Source organism: Homo sapiens, chromosome 18, assembly GCF_000001405.40.
Source record: "Homo sapiens chromosome 18, GRCh38.p14 Primary Assembly".
In the NCBI taxonomy this organism is placed as follows: domain Eukaryota; kingdom Metazoa; phylum Chordata; class Mammalia; order Primates; family Hominidae; genus Homo; species Homo sapiens.
Genome location: NC_000018.10, coordinates 45,747,883 through 45,772,968, shown reverse-complemented (window position 1 = coordinate 45,772,968; position 25,086 = coordinate 45,747,883). Strand labels below are relative to the sequence as shown.

The window sequence follows — 25,086 nt, the reverse complement described above, 5'->3', positions numbered from 1 at the left end:
ATTGTTGGGAAAGGGCATCAACAATGAACTGAGAATGCACTAGGACAGACTTTGCCTAATGTGTGCTCAGTGATAATACAAAAATTGTGTTAAATGCCAACTATGAGAAATTTGCTTCAGAACTCATGAGGGTTTTTCAGATTTCTCTTGCCACTTGAAAAACTAATCAGAAACGTAATGACCTAAATCAATAAGCCCATTGTATTATGTCTAGTGATTTTGTGGGTCAGAAATGAGCGGGGGGGCTCTGCTAGATGATTCTGCTATTCTCTATGGAGTCTATGAAGATCACTTAATGGTACTCTGCTACCATTTAAGAGGAAGAAGTGGAAAAAGTCAACTAATAAATATTCTTTGAGCACCTACTTAGTATGGCACAGGCTCTGCTGCCAGAATGTAGCAGTCTCTTCCAACCTGTATGGCCTTGCAAGAGTCACTTAGCTTCTCTAAGTGTCAGTTTTGTAGGGAAACTTCCTCATGGTATTATTATGAAGTTCCAATGAGATCATATATATGAGTACCTATTAAATATAAGTTGGTGCTGCTGCTGTTTTTGTTTCTCTGGGAAAGCTATCTTGCTTATGTGTGGAAGCCCAAGGATATAGCAGACACGATCCCTATTATTAAGCAGCTTAGAGAGACAAGCCCTACACCACAGATGGATAATATAACAATGCACGATAGCAGTGACAAGTGCTGGCTTAACATGGGAGATTAGTGGAAGGGAGATGACTGTGATCCTACAGGACTTCATGGAAGGTGAACAGGTTTCAGATGAGTGAGTAGAAGAAGGGCATTCCAGGCTGCAGGGGAAGCCGAGATAAAGGGGAAAGCTGAAGGGATGTAGTAGGAGTATCGAGTAAGGTTCTTGTGGGGAAGTGGGGTTAGTTAAGCCTGGAAAGCAAGTGGGATGGACTGGAAGTTCTGAAATTCCACCATAAGCCCTTTATCCTGTTTTAAGTTGTTTTTCATGAATTTCCATTGAAATATTCTAAACAGGAACTTGCTGGAGTCCAAAGCTGCACCACAAGCAGGACATCTCATGGAAGTCTCATATTTCATCTCAGAAATTCATGTAATTTTTGTGTTTGGCTCAGCAATGTCTTCAGATTTATTTTTTCATATAAAAATAGTCTTTTAAATTACTTACCGTTGAGTAAAAGGGAAGGACCCAGTGAAGTATTCTTCAGCTTCCGTTCCTCCAGGCACGTGGTCTCATGCCACTGTGGGGCTGACCCCGGTGTGAGACATGAGGCCATGTAGGGTTTGGGTGAGCACAGACTGGAATGAAAGCAGTGTTCATAAATAGTCTACTGTGGGGGTGGGGGTAGGGGTGATGTGGAGACTAGTGGAGTTGCTGGAGGAGAGTGCCTGAGACTCTGAAATGAAGGGCTCGCTAGAAGCGGTGAGAGGACACCTTAATTTCTGCAGATCCAAGTTGACATCAGATGCAGTCACTTACTGGTGGCATGACCTGGTGAAGGTGTAACCTTTCTCAACCTCAGAGCTCTTACTCACTGTAAGCCAAACTTTATAATAGTGTCTTCCTTGAGGGGTTAGTGGGATTTGATTAAAGGTGATTTGTATGGTTTGGCTGTGTCCCCACCCAAATCTCATCTTGAATTGTAGCTCTCATAATTCCCACATGCTGTGGGAGGGACCAGGAGGGAGATAATTGAATCGTGGGGGCAGTTCCCCCATACTGTTCTTGAGGTAATGAATAAGTCTCACGAGGTCTGATGGTTTGATAAGGGGTTTCCTCTTTCACTTTGCTCTCATTCTCTCTTGCCTCCTTCTATGTAAGACATGCCTTTCAGGCCGGGTGCAGTGGCTCACGCCTGTAATCCCAGCACTTTGGGAGGCCAAGGTGGATGGATCACCTGAGGTCAGGAGTTCGAGACCAGCCTGGCCAACATGGTGAAACCCTGTCTCTACTAAAAATACAAAAATTAGCTGGGTGTGGTGGTGGGCACCTGTAATCCCAGCTACTCAGGAGGCTGAGGCAGGAGAATGGCTTGAACCGGGGAGGCGGAGGTTGCAGTGAGGTGAGATCACGCCATTGCACTCCAGCCTGGGCAACAAGAGTGAAACTCCATCTCAAAAAACAAACAAAAACAAAACAAAACATGCCTTTCACCTTCCACCATGATTGTGAGGCCTCCCCAACCACATGTAACTGTGAGTCCGTTAAACCTCTTTCCCTTATAAATTATTCAGTCTTGGGTATGTCTTTAATAGCAGTGTGAGAACAGGCTAATGCAGTAATAAGTAAGTTTCTAATAGTTCCTGCACCTAATGGGGACTTAGCACTGTGAGTCTTCCTTTCCAATCCTCTTTTCCGTCTTTCTCTCCATGCCTCCCTGCCTTGTGCCTCCAGCATGATGAAGTGGCAGTGGGAATTCAGGCAAGGAAGTAATGGCTGTATCTCTTCTTCCAAAGCCCACCATCAATTTCCCCTATGTTTCTGAGTCACTTAGCCTCAGTTCCAGTTTCCACATCTGCAGAATGGGAAAACTTCCTCATGAATATTAGGAGGTTCAAATGAGGTCACATATGAATACTCAGTAAATTTCAGTCCTTTAAATTGTCCCAAGTGTCTTCCATCTTTAAAAGAATCACCTTCCCGTCTCCCATCCAGCACTGGTTGCCTCCCTCTTTTAAATTCTTTACAGATTCGCTTCACCAAGGTTTTCCAACTCATTGTCCTCACTTCCTACCTCCCACCTCCCATTCTCTCTTAAATCTAAGGCTCTCTGGCTTTGCGCCCACCACTCCAAGCTGTGCCTCCCAAGATCATCAGGGACCTCTTCATTGTGGAATCTCATGGACAACCTTTTGGAAACAGTGGCCATGATTAACACTCCTTTCCTAAAATCTTTTCTTCCTTTGAATTTTGTAGTACCCACTCTCATAGTTTTCCTTCTGCCTCTCTGGTGACTCTTAGCTTTTCTTATGCCCATTTTCTTCTGTTGCAGCTTAAAGGCTGATTTTTTTCCCTGGGGTTTTATGTTCATCTTCTTCTCACTCTTAATTCTTTCCTGGGGTCATTTTATTGGCTTGTGGTTTGATTTATCATCTGCTGCCTAAATCACTGTCTTAAGTCTCAGGCCATTACGGTCAACTGCCTCCTGGGAGGCTTTACTTGGATTCTTCTGCCCCAACCTTTGCAACTTGCTTCCTTTCTGTGTTTGACTTTTCACTGACTGTCACCACCTCAGGTGCCCGAAGTAGTCATTGCTGACTATCCCCTTTGTCTTATTCTTCAAGTGAAATCAATCACTAAGTCTTAGTTCTACAACTCAAAGTGCTTTAGGGAATTTTCCTTTTATCCGTCCCACTACCATTCTCTTGTGTCAGACTTTCATTGTTTCCTACCTGGAGTGTTGCACTAACTTTCTTACTAGTCTCCCTAGTTGGAATACTGCTCTGCTACAGCCCATTCTCTACATGCAGCTAGAGTTGCTCCCCAGCCTTGAACCTTCCAGTGCCTCTCTATTGCCTTCAGGACAAAGCCCACATTCCTGTACTTGTGTGCAATGAAGGCCACTCATGCTCTCGCCTTGCTTACTTTTCCAGCCTCACCATTCACCACTCTGGGATAGGTTGCAAATGAATGAACTACCTGTAGTTTGTATACTTCATTTGATGCTTTTCTTCCAGATCTTGGTGTGTGTTAGTTCACCTGGCCAGTATCCTACAATTTCTCCAACACTTTTGTGACTAACACGTATTAAGCCTTCAGAATTCAGTTTTGCAGATGTCTTCTTGGATAAGCCTTTGATAATCTGTATGTTCCAGGTCTGTTCTAGGTCTCATTCGAGAGCTCATTGTACTTTGATTATTTTGATGGTAGTGAGATGTGCAAATGTAGGACCTCAAGATGCAGAGACCTGTACAAGGCTTTTATTTTCTCTTCATTCTATGTCAATTTAAATTTGAATATCACTCAGATCATTAGGTGCACTGCTTCCAAACCTTTGTTGGCATGATTCTTTAATGATCAAAGCTGTGTTGGGCCCAAGGGCTGGCATAGCTTTCTTGGTGCTGGGGGAAGATGTAGAGAGGGCTTCTCTGCATCCTTTAGCTAATCCCTATGCCTGATTATTCTAGCAAGTAGGTTTAGGGAAGACCTGACTCCTTTTATTCTCTTTCTGGCAAAAATTATGGGCTCATAGTGACATAGAATTATGGCTTATTTTCCTTCAGTGTAGTCTCAGAGCTCAGAAAATCCATCTTTTTTTAAAGTACCTTTTATAATGTTGTTATTCCTCTTCTATGCCAGTAATAGAAAATGACTTCCCAGTCTTGAAGCAGTTGATTAGTAATGCTTTTGGTAGAAATGATGCCTTCTTATTTTCTATGACTTTGCAAGCTCTCATTTTACATCTGAGTGTGTAGTGTCTCCTGAAATGTTACAGGTACTTTCTCATGAATGTGGATTTGTTTCTAATTTCCAAGATGTTGGACTGTTAGAGCTAAGAAGGATTTCTACTAGTCTAGTAATTTTCACAGCTGTTGGGCATGAGAACATATACACTTAAGAAAAAACTCATAAATTATCAGGCCCCACCATAGTGTTTCTTAATCAGAATTTGGGGTGGGCCCAGGAATCTGCATTTTAAGCACACTTCCAAGTTGATTCATGTAGGTAGCTCAGTGCTGGCCTGGGAAACCTCTGGATCCCAGCCTTAGACTTGCAAAGGAGAAAATAGAGGTGCAGTAGGATATGGCTTGCTCGAGGTCACATGAACTGGTAGTGGGTTCAGAACTGGCCTCAGGGATTGCTGACTGCACTATTCTTTCTTCCACAGGTGTGTTCCTGCAAGACCTCTCTTTCCCTAGGGGAAAACAGAGACATCTCATCACAGATAGCTCTAGGTTTGCCTTGGCCATGATGTCCAAGTGGTCTGCTTGGTTCCATGCCTGCGTCTGAGCTGGCTCTGTGGGAGGTGCCAAGCTGCCTTCGACACTGTGCATGGCACTTTAAAGCTCTCAATAAATATTTTTCAAGTGAAGTCAATGAAGCAAGAAAGAATCTCAACTAGTTTTGAGGTAATGGTTCAAGATGACATTCTTTCTCCCTAAGGCAATAACTCTCAAAGCAGCGGTGGAGAAAAGCAACCACTTCTTGGCAGGGAGGGGAATGATTTTTTTTTTGCTGGGGGTCAGTCATGGGAAAGGTGGCAAGGGGAGGAAGGTAAATTTAATTTGAAAAGTCATGTCCAGTATAATTACTATGTCAAAGACTGACAGTTTGGTCCTCAATTTCTAACTAAGCACATTGCTGCTGAGAATAAGGACTATATTTTCCAATTATGTGTGGCCATGTGATTAAGTTTTGGTGAATGGAATATAAGTGGAATTGTGTGGCAGCTTCTAGAAACTTTTCTTAAGTCAGCTGGCATATGCCTTTTGCCCCTTTCTTCTGTATGCTGACCTGCTTCTTGGATCACAGGTGTGATAGATGGAGTGAGAACGGGATTTCTCAACCTCCACACCGTTCCCATTTTGGGCTTAGATAATTCCTTGTTGCCAGGGGTTGTAGGACATTTAGCAGCACCCCTGGCCTCTACTTTTTTGATGCCATTGCACCTCGTCCCCATTATGACAATAAAAATGTCTCCAGACATTGTCAACTGTCCTTTAGGGGGGAAATTATCCCTGATGAAGAGCCACTGATCCAGAACCATCTTAGACTGGGAGGTCCTCTTGGGAAAGAGGGAAAAAGCCTGGGTCCTCAACTACTTGGTGGGGCACCAGCCACAGACAGCCTGCCTCCAGATTTTCCAAATAGGAGAAAGAAATTACCCACTATTACTTTGAGTCTATGCTAGTTGCAGTCATACTTAATTCTAATTGGTTAAATTGTCTGTATTTTGAAATACAAAATAAAGCTCAATAGAATTTATTCGGCAGCCATAACAAATGAAATCATGTCCTTTGCAGCAATATGGATGGAATTGGAGGGCAGTATCCTTAGTGAACTAACTCAGGAAATCAAATACCACGTGTTTTCACTCATAAGTGGGAGATAAACAATGGGTAAACATGAACACAAAGATAGAAATAATAGACAGTGGGGACTCCTGAAGGGGGGAGGTTGGGAGGAGGGCGAGGGTTGAAAAATTACCCATTGAGTACAATGTTCACTATTTGGGTAAAGGGTACAGTAGAAGCCCAATCCCCACAAATACAAAATATACTCATGTAACAAACATGCACATGTACCCCCTGAGTCTAAAATATTATAAAATAAAAAATGGATTGCATTACTATTAAAATAGTAAAGCATTGGAATTAACTTGAATCAGTAATAGAACACTTAAATGAACTACCATATATATCCATAGGATGAAATTATATTTGCTGAAAAAGGAATGACAAATATCTCTATTTTCAATTAGCACATGTATGTATGTTTGTTTGTATGTATGTATTTAGGTATATAAGTATTGATTCATGGTTTTCTATATTATTTGAGAGGACATATTACTGTTATTATTTATTTTCATGCTCAAACTGTCCCAAATTTAGCCAGTGGAAGTTCTTTCAAACTGACTTCTGTGTCTTTTTCAGTTTTCCCCGATCATTCTTCGATCACTATTTGGTTCTTTTTTGTTGTTGTTGTTACTTTAAGTTCTGGGATTCATGTGGAGAATGTGCAGGTTTTAAGAATGGCATTTAGAAGCCACGCTCTTAGTGGTAGGTATGCTCACTGCTTTTGGCATGTAAAACAACCAAGCCCTCTCAAGTGGGCAATGGTAGGACATATTATATATGTGTAATAGGTTGAATAGTGTGCCCCCTAAGGCTAATGTCTATCCAGAACCTCAGAATGTGACTTTATTTGGAAACAGAGCCTTTGCAGATGTAGCTAGTTAAGATGAGGTAACGTTGGATTAGGGTGGGCCCTACATCCAATGACTGGCATCTTTGTAAGGGAAAAGAGAGGAAAACATGGAGCCACAGAGCCACAGACACGCAAAGAGAAGAAAACCATCTGAAGATATAGACAAAGGTTGGAGTGATGCCACTACAAGCCAGGAAATGCCAGGGAACATCAAGGATTGCTGACTACCACCAGGAGCCAGTTGACAGGCATGGAATCTTCTTTCTCAGGGAAAAACACAACTCTGGCAATACCTTAGTTTTGGATTTCTGGCCTCCAGAACTGTGAGAGAATAAATTTCTATTGTTTTAAACCACACACACACACACACACACACACACTCTCTCTCTCTCTCTCTCTCTCTCTCTCTCTCTTATTCTGTTGGGAGGATATATAAACAGAATGAGAAAGTATTTTAAAGAACCATGGGTTTAAGAAAGTTTAACTCAAATGTTAAGGATTGGTTAATTAGTTGAGACTCTTAGTTGAAAGTGTCAGTTATACTTTCTATACTAGCTTAAGTAGAAAAGGTAAGGAAGCTCATAGAACCTAAAGTGGATTTGCAGGAAACTCTGGTGACCTCTGGGACTAGAACGAGAGAACTGAGGCTTCTAGAACACACACACTCTCTCTCTCCCTACCTCACTTAACCCATTGTCTAATTCTCTCCTACTCCACCTGGCCTTTCCCCACATAGTGGGGAACACGGCCTCTGACACAGCCTTGGACTCACATGGCGACAGCTGGGTCAAAAAGGAAAGGCGTGAGGTGGGCAGGTCACCCGAGGTCAGGAGTTTGAGACCAGCCTGGCCAATATGGTGAAACCCCATCTCTACTGAAAATACAAAAATTAGGCGGGTGTGGTGGCGCACACCTGTAATCCCAGCTACTCAGGAAGCTGAGGCAAGGGAATTGCTTGAACCTGGGAGGCGGAGGTTGCAGTGAGCTGAGATCACCCCACTGCACTCCAGTCTGGGTGACAGAGTGAGTGAGACTCCATCTCAAAACAAACAAACAAACAAACAAACAAAAAACAGAAAGGCATTCGTTGCCACCAGCTCCATCCAGAAGCACTGAGATTGGCAGCTGCTGTGATAAGACCACCCTGAGTCAGTCACTGTGGTTGAGGTAAAGTGCAGTGATTGTTCCAGCCTGGCTCATGCCCTTCCTCTGCAGTTAAGGGTTCAAGGCCTGAGACTAGAAGGGCCAGGGGTGGGAGATGGGCACAGGGAACACTAGTTTGCTGCCTAACTCACACGCAACCTTCTTCACACGTGCACGATCTCAAAGATATCTCTGCTTAAAATAGCTCCGCATTGTTCATACCTCCTTCCCCCGGGAGACAACCATGGCTACTGATACCTCTTCTCCCCTCCATTGGATCTGGCAAAGAGATAAGCATGTCACCCCAATGCACCCAATATAGAAACCATGATGGGGGAGAAGCAAGATAATAAAAACTTCCATTTTTAAAAAGGGGAAAGGGAACAGGAGGTGACAGCCCCTGGCACAGAGTACAGCATGTCCTGTTTGTCAGGAATAGTAAGTAAGCAGGCAGACATGTTTCTTGACTCACGGCCTGGTTGTGGGTGAGTCTGTGGTCAGTGAGTATGGCTTCCCTGTTGCTGGGGTCTCCCATCCAGGGCTCACCTTGGACACTCCTGAGGAGCACCTGGGAAGATTTTGCTGCTGGGGTGGCCCTGCCTTGAGGCCCGCTCCCTTCTGGCATGGGTTCTGGTGCTTGGGGTTTACAATCATAAGCACCTATATGTTCAGCTTAAGGTTTCTCTGGCAATACAGCCTCATAAAACTCTCACTCATTTCATTGGTTGAATCTGTGCCCAGCCTTGCAGTTCTGTCTCTTAGCTCATTTCCTTAGATCTCGGCTTAATGATCTTGTTGGCCTTTGCTTTAGATCCAGGGCCTGGAACTTACTCACTTCCTGTGAGGCCCTCTCTGAGCCTCTTTGTGAGGCTGGGGCAAGAACACAAAAAGAAGTCCCTTGCCCACCCCATCTTCTCTTTCCACTGGACTCTGTTCTGCTTAGTGGGGCCCTATGCAAGCATATGGACAACTCAGTGGGCATGTCCAAGCTCCATTCACCCCCAGCCTCCATCAGCATCTCTTAGTAGCACCTCAGGCTAAGGGGTGTGTAACCTGGAAACCCAATCCCCTTTTAGAAGGAGAACTCAGGGAAGGGGGCCTCATGGGCCCAGAAAGCAAGCTCTAGGCCATCTGGGGAGGGCATTCTGTTGTCCTAGGCACTTGGAGCATGGTCCAGAAGAGAGTCCCAGGCTCCAGGTGGACATATCCTCTTGGGCCCATGCGCTTCTTGTCCATAGGGAAGGGGCAGAGGAATGGCTAGAGGGAGGTCAGTTTGGGACATTTTAAAGCATTGAGGGGTCAGTATAGGGTCCTTCTAGCATAGGTATAAGGTCAGTACGGCCTCTGTCCCCAGGCTCTTCCCAAGTGAGTGACACTTAATTGTGGCCAGGAATTGCTAGCATTTTTTTTTTTTTTTTTGGCAAAGAAAACATTGATAATAGAAGGTGCTTGGGATCAGACTTGCCCATTTCTTTTAATCCTCCCGGGTAGTCACTTCCTAGTCAGGACATTAATTTTAATTAGGGCCAGGGACAGAACTCACTGAGGAAGGAATGAATGACTTAGCGGTGCTGCACCCTTTAAGGGGGCCTGATGGGTCAGGTTGTGGCAAAGTGACAAGGAGCTGGAAACTACTGCTGAAAGGGGCAAATCCCTCTTCCCTCCATTCTCTCTGTATTTCATCCTATTGGCAGAATCCAACAGGCAAAGGAAAACAGTGGGTTGGGCTGGGCATGGTGGCTCATGCCTGTAATTTCAGCACTTTGGGAGGCCGAAGCAGGCAGATGACCTGAGGTCAGGAGTTCAAGACCAGCCTGGCCAACATGGTGAAAACCCGTATCTACTAAAAATACAAAAATGTGGTGGACACCTGTAATCCCAGCTACTAGGGAGGCTGAGGCAGGAGAATCACTTGAACTGGGAAGGCGGAGGCTACAGTGAGCCGAGATCGCATCCATGCATTCCAGCCTTGGCAACAGAGTGAGACTCTGTCTTAAAAAAAAAAAAAAAAAAAAAAAGCCAGGCATGGTGGTTCATGCCTGTAATCCCAGCACTTTGGGAGGCCGAGGCTGGTGGATCACCTGAGGTCAGGAGTTTGAGACCAGCCTGGCCAACAAGGTGAAACCCTGTCTCTACTAAAAATATGAAAAATTAGCAGGGCATAGTGGTGCTTGCCTGTAATCATCCCAGCTACTCAGGAGGCTGAGGCAGGAGAATCACTTGAGCCTGGGAGGCGGAGGTTACAGTGAGCCGAGATTGCACCACTGCATTCCAGCCTGGGCAACAGAGCGAGACTCCATCTCAAAAAAAAAGAAAGAAAACAGTGGGTTGCAGAGTCTTAGCCCTGCCATCACAGATCAAAGTGTAGAAGGGTGGGCTTAGAACTGGGAGACAATAACTTAATAACCTGCACAGGCAGGAAGCTCAATCGTTCATCCCCCGGGTTCTTGGAGCATTAGCTAAAGGCAGAAAGAGGCAACCCCAACATGTCCATGCATCCTGCTTTAGTCTAAGCTAAAGTGATCAGTCAGAGCTCTCTAATATCCTGACATTTTCCTACCAAGCCTTTTCTAATGCTTTAGCCATGGGTACATACGGTTTGGGTCACAATATGTATCAGCTAATCATTTAACCATGTAGCAAGAACTGTCAGATCCCCGCCCCTTCTTGACTCTGCCTATTCCATCTTCTAGAGATGTCACTTGTAATATTCTGTATCAATTTTGGTTGTGTTTGAAATGACACAAACAGATTCTAACTTAAGTACCAATTCAGTTTATTGGAAAGATATGGGGCTGGGGGATAGTTAATGTTGTTATTACATCAAGGTAATAGTAACCTGGGCTTGGGAGGGAAAGAAACCAGGATGGCTCTGGGTATCTCATGGCCTTTCTCTTAGAGCACTATTCTCAGACCCAGCCTCGATTTCCCTTCATCCTGGATGTCTGTGTACTTAGATTTCAAATTCCTGCAGGGAAGAATCTTATTGCCTCAGTTTGGGTTAGGTGGCTGTCCCTTGGACCAATCCCCATGGCCAGGGGATTGAGATACTATGATTGATTACAGCTGAGTCACTGACTCCACTGTGTTTGAGATTATGGTATTGAGGCCAGCAGCCTCAGAGGACCCCATGGATGGGGAAGGAGGAGATCCCTTAAGGAAGGGGAGTCGCTGTTACTAGAAGAAGGTGGGAAGCATGCGGGGAAGACAAAAACAACAAATGGCCATTAGAGCAGGCAAGCTGGGATTTGAAGATTACAAGAAGAGGAAGTAACCACGTAAATGGCATGGAGGAGGGAAGCTGCTTCTTAGCCTGGGCTCACACCTCATTTGACTAACGAGTCAAATCCTTGCTGACTGGCTTGTCTCTTCACTGCAATATGTTCAGAGGAACACGACTTTAAATGATGCATTGTCCTGGGTTTCCTCTTGTACACCCCTCTTATGCCTCATTCCTTTCCTTTGCATGATACTCCCCTAGTTCTGGATGGCCACCTTCCTTGGATTTCCCATGAAAACTAATCTTTCTAGAGTCTTTTTCCTATAGGACTTTCTCTATTTTTTTATTTTATTTTATTTATTTATTTTTTTTGAGACGGAGTCTCTCTCTGTCACCCAGGCTAAAGTGCAGGGGTGTGATCTTGGATCACTGCAGCCTCTGCCTCCCAGGTTCAAGCAATTGTCCTGCCTGAGCCTCCTGAGTAACTGGGATTACAGGTGCCCACCACCATGCCCGGCTAATTATGTATTTTTAGTAGAGACGGGGTTTTGCCATGTTGGCCAGGCTGGTCTCAAACTCCTGACCTCAAGTGATCCATCCCAGCACTCAAGTGCTGGGATTACAGGCGTGAGCCACTGCACTGGCCAGGACTTTCTCTTGCTATTAGGCAGGAAGAAACTGGGAAGAGACCAGGTAAAACTAATTCAATTAGGATGTTGCTATCTGAGATCTTATTGTGTTGCTTCTCTCACTGAAAATTCAGGGAATGAGTGGAGAAATGTTGGGCTCCGTGGTGGGCTGCTGGTGAAGGCATCTTAGGGGACCAGCTTTGCTGCTTCTCAGTTGCATTATGCAGATGTTGGCTTGATGTGGGTGTGACTGCACGATCCTGATGCCAGGTGTTTGCATGCCCTCATGCACCTCACGCTGAGTCCAGAGTCCTTAGACCCCATCTTGCAGCCTCAAAAGAAATGATTATTTGCATTAAATTACAACCAGCATTAGGCATACAAAATTTATCTGCCGTGTGGTGCCACAGTGAAATTTAAAACCTTAATCACCTGGTAAGGCAAGGGGACTGACCAATCAGAACGATTGCTGGAACTCACAGCTGTGCTTTGTGTTAACCCTTTAGTTGCTGGATTGTGGAGAAATTCCTGAAGGTCATAGAGAGACTCAAGTGACAGGGCTCAGGGCAGTGGCTACTTACCACAAAGTGTGCAAAAGAACTGAATATTTTAATAATTTGAATGTCTGCACTGGTGTGAATCAGCAGTGGGTCAGTCCTAGATGTGGGTATAGGGAAGAATAATCTGGAGTCCTGAGGGTTGAAAGGGCCTGAATTTGGAGGTTCCTAGGATGAGCAGACAGTGGTGGTCAATTCGAGGTGTGCAGGAAGGGGGTCCTTAGGCTACCATTGGCCGTGTGGCTTGGAGCTTGCAGGGCCCTGTGATTGGCAGTGAGGGGCAGAGCGGCAGGTGATGGGCGCTGTCCATGAGGAATGTGTAGGGCAGAGGTGGGACAAGTGGGACTGGTGTGGCAGTGAAAGGAGGTCCCCAGGAGAAAGGAAGAGAAGCATAAGCTTTCCTCACATGGTGGGTGGGGAGTTGGAGGCAGGAAGTGGTGGGGGCAGGGCCAGGGGAATCACAATATTAGCTGCTTCTTTAGGCAGTTCTGTATTTATATAAAATATGGTTATATATTTCTAGGTCATCCTTACAGTTGAAAAGGAGTAAGCACACAGCAGACCATGAGGGTGATTAAGAGAAATGCCATGACATTGCCTTGGCTGTGTCAAGGTGGGGTGGGATCAAAATGGGAAGAGATGGCTATTATAGGCTGACTTGACATATGTAAGCTTTGAGCATTTAAAGAAAATAGATTCTGTGCCATGGCCACTCCCTTCTGCTCTGGCCACCTTCTCTATACACTGCCTGAACTATGAATCTTAGGCCCCACCACAACATGGCCCCTTGGTAAGAGCATCATTTCCTTGGTCTCTAGAAGTGGTTCTGGAAAGGGCGTGGTTGGGAGTCCAGGGGGAGCCCAGATGAGCTCCTAAAGCCAAGTCTAGGTGAGCCAGGGAGGGAATGTGTCAGAATGAGGCCAGAGTCACACCTTCACACCTCCTCCAGGAAGCCATCCTCATCTACTCCAGCCTCCAGGGTACTCTGAATTTTCTGAATGTGCAGTGGCTTTTATGTAGGAGGGCCCATTATGTCAATAGAGAAAAATGATGAGACAAGTCTCAATCATTTTAGGAGGTTTATTTGCCAAAGTTAAGGATGCACATCTGGGCGACAGGTCTATGCTTTTCTCTGAAGATGATTTTGAGGGCTCCAGATTTAAAGAGGAAAGGGCAGGATAGTGAGAAGTACACAATTTTCATGCAAGAGGTGGGTAGGGAGAAAATATTCATGTCTTTGTCTAGCTCAGTGAATCTGCATTTTTATGTAACATGGCCACATGGGACAGGGGAAATGCAAGGAATCTGCACTTTTACATAAGATTAACAGACAAATGGGGCGGTGGGGGGTGGGTGGGTGGGAATAATCAGATATGCATTTGTATCAGGTGGGAAGAGGGGTGATTGCACCTGTAAAGATAAGTTATCATTTACATTGCCATAGTTAATTTTTTTTTTTTTCTGTTGAGACAGAGTCTCGCTCTGTCACCCAGGCTGGAGTGCAGTGGTGCGATCTTGGCTCACTGCAACCTCCCCCTCCCAGGTTCAAGTGATTCTCCTGTCTCAGCCTCCCGAGTAGCTGGGACTACAGGCACCTGCCACCACACCCGGCTAATTTTTTGTAGTTTTAGTAGAGAAGGGGTTTCACCGTGTTAGCCAGGATGGTCTCAATCTCCTGACCTCATGATCCGCCCACCTTGGCCTCCCAAAGTCCTGGGATTACAGGCGTGAGCCACTGTGCCTGGGCACCATGGTGAATTTTAACAGAAACACTTTAAAGATCTTGGAGTTCACTAGGGATTTCCCTGTGGGCAAAATATGAGGGCAGTGTGTAGCTTTTCATCTTGTAGCCATCCAATTTAGGAACCAAAGGGGAGGCAGTTTTGCGTGACCCAGTTCCCAGCTTAACTTTTCCCTTTGGCTTAATGATTTTGGGGTCTCGAGATTTATTTTCCTTTCACTTTTCGAATCATCTGTAGTACCTTTAGTGTTGCGGGAAGTCAGAGACCCCAAACAGAGGGACCAGCTGAAGCCATGACAGAAGAACGTGGATTGTGAAGATTTTATGGACATTTATTAGTTCCCCAAATTAATACTTTTATAATTTCTTATGCCTGTCTTTACTGCAATCTCTAAACATAAATTGTAAAGATTTCATGGACATTTATCACTTCCCCAATCAATACCCTTGTGATTTCCTATGCCTGTCTTTACTTTAATCTCTTAATCCTATCAGCTGAGGAGGATGTATGTTGCCTCAGGACCCTGCAATAATTGCATTAACTGCACAAATTGTACAGCATGTGTGTTTGAGCAATATGAAATGTGGGCACCTTGAAAAAAGAACAGGATAACAGCAATTGTTCAGGGAATATGAGAGATAAACTTAAACTCTGACTGCCAGTGAGCCAGGCAGAACAGAGCCATATTTCTCTTCTTTCAAAAGCAAATGGGAGAAATATCGCTGAATTCTTTTTCTCAGCATGGAACGTCCCTGAGAAAGAGAATGCGCACCTAGGGGTAGGTCTCTGAACTGGCCCTCCTGGGGCGTACCTGTCTCTTATGGTCGAGATTGCAGAGGTGAGATAGACTCCAGTCTCCCATAGCGCTCCCAGGCTTATTAGGAAGACGAAATTCCCGCCTAATAAATTTTGGTCAGACCGGTTGATCTCAAAACCCTGTCTCCTGATGAGATGTTATCAATGACAATGGTGCCCGAAACTCCATTAGCAATTTTAATTTCACCTCGGTCCTGTGGTCCTTTGATCTCGCCCTGCCTCCACTTGCCTTGTGATATTCTATTACCCTGTTAGGTACTTGATGTCTGTCACCCACACCTATTCGCACACTCCCTCCCCTTTTGAAAATCCCTAATAAAAACTTGCTTGGTTTTGTGGCTTGTGGGGCATCATGGATCCTACCAACGTGTGATGTCTCCCCCGGACGCCCAGAAATTAAAATTTCTCTCTTTTGTACTCTGTCCCTTTATTTCTCAAGCCAGCCGACACTTAGGAAAATAGAAAAGAACCTACGTGATTTTCGGGGCAGGTCCCCCGAAACTTTAGAAATTCAGATTCAGGAGGTCTGAGAAGAGATGGGAATAACTGAAGTTTTTCAAAGGCCCTTAGGCATAATTCTGATAAATTCCCCTGGTTGTGAAACATTGTAGCGCATTCATAACAGCTGCCTGGAAATAGAACTTGCAAAAAGGAGCCCACGAAAGAAATCCATCTCCCAAATGTGCTTTGTTTGGTTAGCATAGTGTTAAAAAAACTGAATGCGAATACTTTTAGGCGAGAGCATGCAATCTTCAATTGGCTACAGTCCCCACTATTCCCTATTGCCTTATGTCCAGGTACTTCACTTTTTTCATAGCTTATGACTGATGAGCACTTGTACATTCAGGTTAGAGTTATCCTGCACATGGACACGTGGAGAGGCAGCCTGTTTGTCCCAGTAGTGCTGTCTGAGGGCCAAGTGTTTCTGAGGCTGTTCTTTAGGTACTGCCTTCAGAATAACTTAATATCACATGCAGGAAAACCAGTCTCCTCACTCTGTAGCCATGTTATGATTATTTTAAGAAATGACATCCTCAGGGTGCACAGCATTTAGCCCTCCTGGAAAAGTACACAGTTTTACCTTAAATTGACATTAGGAATCTTTGAACTGATGAATTTGATATAGAGACCCCAGAATCAGTAAGCTCTGTCTCCACAACGTGACAGAAGAAAGGCTTCATTTCCATGCATTATTTCTGAGGGAGGAATGAATGAATTCTCCAGAAGTTTGAGTTCCAACAGCTCAGTGCCATCTAAGTTGCTATGGAGACTTTGTAAACCACTAAGAATCCTGGGCTGGGGAACTGTCTAGCCCAGTGCTGTTGAATAGGGATACAATGTGAGCCACAAATGCAAGTTATTTGTATAATTTTGGATTTTCAAAAGTGGCCATCTTAAAAATGTATTTAAAAAGGTGAAATTAATTTTAACAATATATTTTATTGTCATTTCAAAATTTAATATAGACAATTATTGAGATATTTTTTCCTTTTTTGTTATAAGTGTTGGGAACCCAGTGTGCAATTTACATGTAGAACACATCTCAATTTGGACCAGCTGCACTGCAAGTGCTGCACCATGGATAGTGGCTACTGTATTCAATAGTACAGATCTACCCTCTCATTGAGAGGCCAGCATTAGGGGGGATCTCAGAATGTGGAAAGACCTTCTTGTTGGGTTGGCCAGTTCCATGGCCTGCCTGTGTGTGCTCTTGTTGCCCCCAAATGCACTTGCACTTGGACCATTGACTCATGTCCTAGCTGCCATTGTTTTCTTTGGACTGAGGGACTTAATTTTAGCCAGGTTTCCTGGCACTGTGCCAACTTTTCTCTGCGTTTCAGTTCTTCCCCCTCTAGTCCTTGCCTGTCATTGTAATATAATTCAAAGCTTTGATGGGCTAGGATCCAATGGACCCAACCCAAACAGGAAACTGGCTTCCTCATTGTTTATTTGAAACCTATTTTAAACCATGAACCAGAAAATGTTGGACACTTGTTTTCAGACTTCATTGAGCTGTAACTGAATTGAACCTCAACTATTTCCGGTGGGGCTTCCGACATGGAATGATTTATAAGCCGTAACTGTTAGATCAAGAGAACTAATTAGAACATGAATTGACCCTAAGTTTTCGTTACCTGAGCATGATCACGTCTCATCCTTTGCTTAGAATCTTGTTAGTTAGAGGTTATACAACCTTGTATGAGTCTGGGGTATCCCAAAATACTCTGGGAATATTCCAGCAAGTATTCCACAAAGAATCTCTTGTGTAAAAGGTCTTGGTCTAGATTTCTGTTCCAAACCCCTTTGTGAATCTCACAATAGACAGTCTAACCTATCACTATGTCTCTCTCTTGTGTGGGCACATAGGAACTACATGCTATATGGTGGTACTATATACCACTGTAGCAGCCATGTTGGCTGCCTGTCCAATTGCCATTCCTCTTGCTTTTGCTCCAATATGGCAGAGTTCACCTGTTACAAGAGAAGCTACATACCAGATGCCTACTTTCTCAGATTTTTTAGGCAGCCATGAATGGCCATACAACCCAGTTCTGCCAAAAAGACACAAGTGAAATTATTTTAGAGGAGCTTCTAAGAAAGACTTCCCTCCCTGATAAAGAAGAGAAACATGAGAGAATGGCCCTCTTGCAACTCTATTTGCCCCCCTTCTTCTTGATGTGGTTGTGATGTTTGTAACCAGGGCAGCCATGTTGTAACAATGAGGCTACAAGCTCTAGGATGAAAGTGGAGCCTTCTGAGGATGCTGAGAATGATGAGGAAGATGGAAAGAAATTGCACCCCTTGGTGACATCATTGAGCACAAAATCTGGAACTTCCTACTTTTAGGAATGAAATTCCTGTTGTTTTAACCACTTTCTGTCAGGTATTTTGTTACTTGCAGGCAAAGGCATCCTAACTGTTATGGATGCCTGGTACTTAATGATATATTACTGTCTTCGTTTTTTAGAAGAAAGAGGTCACTGGCATACTCTTCCCTCAAACTTGTTAACTGGTTGTCTCTTACTCATTATCATCACTGCACTATATTATATTACTCCTTTACTTGTCAGTTCACCTCATAAAGTTTTTGTGAGGGAAGAGACTATGGCCGTCTGGTTCACTATTGTAGTCACAGTTCCTGTTATGTAGTAAACAGTCATTCAATAAATGGATGAATGGGGGCTATCAAGGAGGTGGAACCCTCAGCCCTTGGCTAACTATTTCCTGGAGGTGAGAGAATGAGGTCAAGGATGGCATCCTGTTTCTGGCTTTCCCATTCGGGTGGAAGGTGCTACCTTTCTCCATGAGTCAACATGGGAGGGAGAGAAGAATAGTTGAAGAAGATGAGTTTTGTCCTGGATATGTTGAGTTTGAGGAAGTGCTTTTGGAACAGTCCCTGTAGGGAGTTGAAGATAAGCTCTGGATTGAAGCATGAGAAGGATGGGATTGGCGAGGAAGAGTGTGCAGCATGAGAGGAGAAGTGATCCTTCAGTGCTCCATCGATGGTGTGGCACCACCATTCACCTTGTAGCCCAAGCTACAAATCAGGAAGCCATCCTTGACACCTCCCCCTCCCTCACCCTGCAAATCAACTCATCACAGAGTTCTGGTGATTCTGCCTCCTGTCTCTCATATCCATGAACGTCTCTCCATCACCACTGAAGTCCAAGCCACCATCACTTCTCTCCTGCACTACTGCAATGGCCTCCCAGTTGGCTTGCTGAATTCACTCCAGCACCCTTTCATTCACCATAATCCAGCCACAGCAATCTTCTCACTCCTTGAAAGCACCAATCTCCTTGTTTCAAGGCCTTTATCCACAAGTTTCCCTTTGCCAAGGGTACTGTTCCCTCCACACTCCACCTTCCTCCACCTCCTGCCTATTCCTTAGATCTCTGCCTAAACCTCCCTTCCTCAGTGTGGACACATGTGTTTTTACCCTGTAAGACAAGTCTACATAGGAAGCCAAATAGCTTGTGAGTACAGGATTGGACAAGGAGCATTAGTTGCTTGGTCTATATAGTTCAGTTTACTAAACCATAATACCCCAGTGCCATTTCCGCCACAGAGCTCACCCTTGACACCTGTCCCACCCCAAGTTCCAATATTGAAGACCCCCTTCCTAGGTTTTCCTCTTCCTGAGCCTCAGTGGTTGACTTGCTACCCCATCAGGTGGACCTAAGCTTGCTTTAGATATGTTCACACCTACCAGGTTAATATTAAATAAGATTAGGTCAGTCCTGGGAGCAATTTTCTCTTTTAGGTGACTTTGCACATGTCTGATCTGATTTACTGCATCTACTTTATAGTTTAAGAGCTGTGAAAGCAGCTATACTTATATTTCATTCTTTAAAAGTCTATTATTTACTATATTCATTTATTAAGCCTTAAATTCCTTCAGGATCTGCATTGCTGATTGCTTTAGCCAGTGGCACTCTACAGCCTTGAAGCTATAAGCCCTCCTAATGGTCTGGGAGTTGTCAATGCAGATTAAAGAAGAAGATGAAACTAAAGAGTGAAGCCTTTTGGAAGGAACTAGTTACATAAGGAGAAAGGCTGAAAACAGTCCTGTGCCTGAAATCTTATCTTATGTTTACTAACCACAAAAATATTCTTGCAAAATTGTTAATAAGAAGCCTCCTTAGAAATTCCTGGTTTCTTGTAAAACTTAGCTTTGATCTTGACATATTCCGTGCTAATCCTGTATCATGGGTAACAGGCAAGTTGGCCCCTTTAGCTCCTAAAGGTATAGAGTGTCCTTAGCATAAGAGCCTCACAACCTGTCGTTTCTACCCCAGATAAAAGAAGACATAGAATGCCCAGATCCCTCTGGAGAATTTATTTGAATTTACCTTGAAACCATAGGTAGGAGAAGTTTTGTTATGACAGAGGGCACTTCAATAGGGAGACCCCACTATGGCTTCTTTAGTTTCCTTTTAGGGCTGCTTTGAAACTTATCATTCAAACTTGTTGAAGTAAATTTCTCATCTTACCATATTTTCTTTCAAATCTGCCAACTGTGGTGAAAGGGTGTGGAAGAGAAGTGCTTCTGTGGAAGAGACAAGCATGGCTGTGGCTTCAGCCTCAGGGGATAACATTCTGACAAGTGGCTGGTCCTAGAGAGCTGACCCCTGAGGCATGCTGTGGCCCAGGGTCAGCCCTGATGGTGGTGCCCAGGGCCTGTCTGGGAATGCATAGAAGTGGCTCTTGGGATATTGATCTCAAAGTGTTAGGAGCATGTCCTGAACAACTGTCCTCAGTTATTCATTCTCATCCAGGAGTTGAAAGAATAATGGATAGTTGAGAGGATACCCAAGGGGATGGGCCTGCCAATCTGAAATTGAAAAGGGTTTACTCAACTATACATCTGGTGCTATTACCAAGTGTAAGAAAGGAATAAGGATTCTAGCACGTGCAACATAAGCGATACCTACTTATGCCTGTGATTGTTCATATACATGATGGCTATAAATGGCACATTATACAAAACTGAGCTGTGAGCATAATTTATTCATGTACTTGCATAGAAATTTGTTATACAGACATTAGGAAAAAGTATAAGTGCTCCCTGCAAATATTCAATTTTAGGAAAATAGTAACAAAAATAGCTTGAGAAAATTAATATCATTTAAATTCGACAATGTACAATGTTCCCATTTACAGATTTGTGTGAGCACAAGAAGCTCCTGCATGGTAGATCCCTGTTCTGAAGATCGACTCGGGTCCATTTTAGAGGCCTCTGGTTCTCTCAGCCACAGCCTAGATTCTTCACTGCTGATGATCTTTGGTTATGCTTGCTTTTTTTTCCCCACAATTCTTCTTTCACACGTTCCCTAACAAGAAAGGGTTCAGTTCAAACACTGAAAATTGAGCTTCTCCACAGCAATATCCATAAACCTATGACAGTTGCAAATTCATAGTTCCAAAGGCTTTGGTCACTGGGTTTTAAAATTGGAACGATATGTTTGCTTGCTTGGTTTCCTGAGAAAAGGAAGAAGTGAGCTTCTCCCTAAAATATTTGTAGGTTTACTTCCCTATTTCTGTTTATTCATTCAGCAAAATGTATATTGTGCACTGAGCACTGCAAACTAGAAGTGGAAAAAATCTTCAGGATTCCTACGTTTCACTTTCCAACCTCCAAAATACTACACGATACACACTGAAGTGGAAAGTAAATGAACATGACTTCCTTTTTAAATTAATTAATTAATTAATTAATTAATTTTTTTGAGATAGGGTCTTGCTCGGTCACACAGGCTGGAGTGCAGTGACATGATCATATAGCTCACTGCAGCCTCGAACTTCTGTGCACAAGCGATCTTTCCACCTCAGCCTCCTGAGTAGCTGCTGCAGATGTGTGCTGCTACACCTGGCTAATGTTACTATTTTTATTTTTTAAGAGATGGAGTCTTGCTATGTTGCCCAAGCTGGTCTTGAACTCCTGGGCTCAAGAGATCCTTTTACCTCCATCTCCCAAAGTGCTGGGATTACAGGTGTGAGCCAGTCCCTGAACGTGACTTCTGTTGCTGTCTTCAGTATGTTTGGTTACAGAGACTTTACGGAACTGATAACTTTAAAATTAAAGAGAGGAAAACAGGGGAATCCTTACCTGTTTTGTTTTGTTTTGTTTTGTTTTGTTTTTGTTTTTGTTTGTTTTTTTTTTTTTTTGAGAGACACAGTTTCACTCTTGTCGCCCAGGTTGGAGTGCAGTGGTGCAATCTTAGCTCACTGCAGCCTCCTCCTCCTGGGCTCAAGTCATTTTCCCACCTCAGCCTCCCAAGTAGCTGGAACTACAGGCACCCACCACCATGCCTGGCTAATTTTTGTATTTTTTGTAGATACAGGGTTTCACCATGCTGCCCAGGCTGGTCTTGAACTCCTGGGTTCAAGCAATCTGCCCGCCTGGGCTCCCCAAAGTGCTGGGATTACAGGCGTGAGCCACCGCACTCAGCCCTTTATTTCTTTTTGGTGGTTCAAATGCCATTGATTTCTGAGAGAGAATATTGTGAGTGTGCAAAAAATAATGAGCTTTTTTAAATTAAGGAATTCAACAACTTATAAAAATAACACCCGTAAGCAATCTGACCTTTGCCTTCAGTCTTTATAAGACATCCTCAAATGAATAAAAAATATGATTTTAAAGAGCCCTTTGGAGGTTGGTAACAATTCTATGCATTTGTGGCATTTACAAAATCAATTTAGGGGTTAAAGTAAAAATGCCTAAGCTGAGTATTTCATAAATACAGTAAGTAACTTTTCTTTAATATGTAAGAACAGGTTAAGCCAGGAACTTCTCCTATTTTATCTCATTTAAAACAGATCATTTTTCATAAGGAAAAATAATCTCTACCTAAAAAATCCTTTGCAATCTCTGAGAAAAGTTGCAATACAGAATAATTTTGATTGACAAAATTCCTTTCTCCCTCTTGCAGTCCTGTCAGTCTGAAAAACCCCAACATTGTCCCATGAGAGAATGTCACACACACAAGGGATAGGGTGCAGGCCATTGTTTGCAGGAAGTGGGGACTGAGCTCTGCTGTCAGCTTGCACCTCTGTGATACAGATTCTGGCTATAATGTGTAACTTGCATTGATTTAAAAAAAAAGCCAAGCTGCTTATCACAGAATTCTGGATTAACTTCGATTTTGTGACTGTGAATTCCATAAGGCTTAGTTGGTTTATGGGGTTTAATTTTTAATACTGTTAACATCATCGAGCCAGCTAAACACCAAGAATATCAATAAATACTAATAGTTTGTTTTCACTTCCTCCTTCTGTTGGAGCACTTTGACTTTATATACATTCCAGTCTTAGTGCCAAGGCCCCATTGGGGTTTCAAATTCCATACCAGAGCACATCACCTGGATGTGACTCTCATATGCTCAAGGATATTCCTGGAGTTGAAAGGAAAATACAAAATGAGCATAAGAACAGATTACAGACGCGTCAGTATGAAAGTTGATACTCGTGAAAAACAGCAGTTTGCTGAGACCCTGGAAGTTAGCTGGAGCAGTCAGGCAGAAATGACTCGTGACCATGGCTGCAAATGGGGCTTGTTCTCACAAAGGGCTTTCCACCATTCTTTTCTTGGCTTGCAGGTAGAAGATGCGGTTTTCTTCAGGATAAGTAACTTTACTGAGGGGCATCTTGTAGATGTTGGAATTTTTTGTGGTCATGATGAGGAACAATAGCGTGGCCAAACAGAAGGGCCAGGTACAAGCTGGCAATCCAACCTGGGGAAGAAGAGAAAGCCACACGCTCCTTTCAGATCCCATCTGACAGCTGAGCTGCACAAGGCATCCCCCTCTACTTGCATTCAGCCCAGGGGGATGAACCACTGGGGGCATTGCTCTGGATTCTGTGCATGCTCGTGGAGACTGAATTTACAATCTCAGGGCATTGAGTTGTTGGAATGTTGACATCCATTCTTTAGGGCAGCCACTTATGTCTCTATCTTGTATGTCTTTCTCTCCCTCTCATATATTCAGACTTCCTGCACCAGATGTGCCAAGAGAACATTTGACAGAGATGACACTTGCAAACTGCAAATGGCCCCTGACCAGTCTTCATGTCCACAAGGCCTTCTCTGATTAGTCCAGCCCACAGTGACCTCTCTGACCTTGACTTCTGCCTGGTCTAGATCTTAGACTTGACTTGCTTTGTTTCTTTCCATTCTGTCTCCCAAATAGACTCTAAGTTCCTTGAGGGTAGGTCCTCTTTGTGCTGCTCATGGAAACTCACACAATTCTGAGCATACACCATTGGTTAGCTCTGACCTGATGCATGGACCTCCCTGGGGTGTGATGGAGTGTAGGGGTACCCTAATCTGACTGCACATCAGAATCATCTGGGGGAGTTAAAAAAAAACACAGATGTTCAAGCATCATACAAGACCTACTCTATCAGAAATACCAAAGGACAGGGCCTAAGGCTCCATATTTTTCTGTCTTCCTAGCTGACTCTGGTGTGCAGCTTGCCCATTTGGGTCCTGGGACTGATGCCTGTGAATCTTCTTTGTTGACATGTGAAGGGCCCCATGTGCTCTGATGTACTCTCCATCATGCATGTGTGTAATGGGACTTTGGCTTTCCACCAGAAAGACACTGTGTCTCCTTAAGGACCCTCCCAGATAAAATCTCCATGCTGCTGCCAAAAGGGCTAGATACTGCCTTGACTCCTTAGCAGCCATGACCACATCAACATGGACTAAGCTATCAGAAACCGGCCCTGCATCACCTGCAATGGAATATCTGGCTTTCTGTTTAAGTAAAAGATATCCTAAAGTCTACTTCTTATCACTTAGAGTTAGACTCTGAACTTGATAATATGTTATACAACCTACGTTTCATTTTTTTTTAAACCAAGCAATCTGATACTTGTAACAACTGGGTGATTGTGGTTTGGACTAAAGTTTGCTGTGATGCTGAAAGAAAGGCCAGGGAGCTCCAGGAGAAGGGAGAGCAGTGCTTCTCATGGTCATGGATCCTGCCACTGGATGCCAGCCCAGTGGACTTCAGGAGCATTTCCCATATAGTTGTAAGCTGGTCAATTACGCTAATGAAAAGTGAGACTAAAGCAAACTCACCTCAGCCATAAAGTTTGCCATGCCGACTCCAAGATAGGCCGTGAACAGGGCTACAGAAAAAAAAAGGAGGGAAAGAACAATGCTTCGTAGATGCACTTTTAATCACAGGAAAGGCTGCCTTCCAATATAAATCACCTGGAATGCACAGTGCCCTGATTACAAGCATGAGCCTAAAGTCAGCAGTCCTGGGTTCAAATCCTGGCTCCATCACTTAGGAGCTCCATGGGCTCTGTTTTAAGCCTCCATTTCCTCACCTGTACAATGGAAGTAAGAGGAATATATTTTTCATGGTGTTGGTGTGAGGATGAAAGGAAATAATGCATGTGTTTAGCACACAGTAAGTGCTCAATAAAGGTAGTTTTTTTATGGTTACTATTTTGTTGTTATTGCTAATACTTAAGGGAAAGGCCTTCCATGGCAAATAAATTTCTCTGATGTTTTATCCAAGCATAGCTGAATTAAAATGAAACCTATGAATGTTTCTTGAGATAGCATCTAGGATTCTCATATTAATGAATTGAATTCACAGCTACAAAAAATCAT

General features: G+C 43.8%; 1 protein-coding gene and 1 long non-coding RNA gene across 14 annotated transcripts in view; one reads left to right on the top strand and one right to left on the bottom strand.

Moving 5' to 3' along the window:
- LOC105372093 (uncharacterized) overlaps positions 1–25,086 on the top strand; it is a 176,501-nt gene that overhangs the window by 9,868 nt on the left and 141,547 nt on the right. The window contains exon 4 of the long non-coding RNA XR_935423.3: positions 4,812–5,052. This is a non-coding gene — a long non-coding RNA (uncharacterized LOC105372093). The remainder of the gene's footprint in view (positions 1–4,811; positions 5,053–25,086) is intronic.
- The window catches only part of SLC14A1 (solute carrier family 14 member 1 (Kidd blood group)), a 28,340-nt gene continuing 23,702 nt past the window's right edge, over positions 20,449–25,086 (bottom strand). For 10 of the 13 annotated variants that reach the window (NM_001128588.4, XM_047437758.1, NM_001146036.3 and 7 more), the window contains 2 exons: positions 24,544–24,593; positions 20,449–23,191 (listed from right to left, as the gene is read on the bottom strand). In NM_001128588.4, coding sequence (NP_001122060.3) covers positions 23,018–23,191; positions 24,544–24,593 — 224 coding nt within the window. In that variant the 3' untranslated portion in view covers positions 20,449–23,017. Of the gene's footprint in view, positions 23,192–24,543; positions 24,594–24,626; positions 24,798–25,086 lie in introns of those variants that run through there. The other 3 variants (NM_001439164.1, XM_011526144.2, XM_047437759.1) reach the window with 3 other exon arrangements.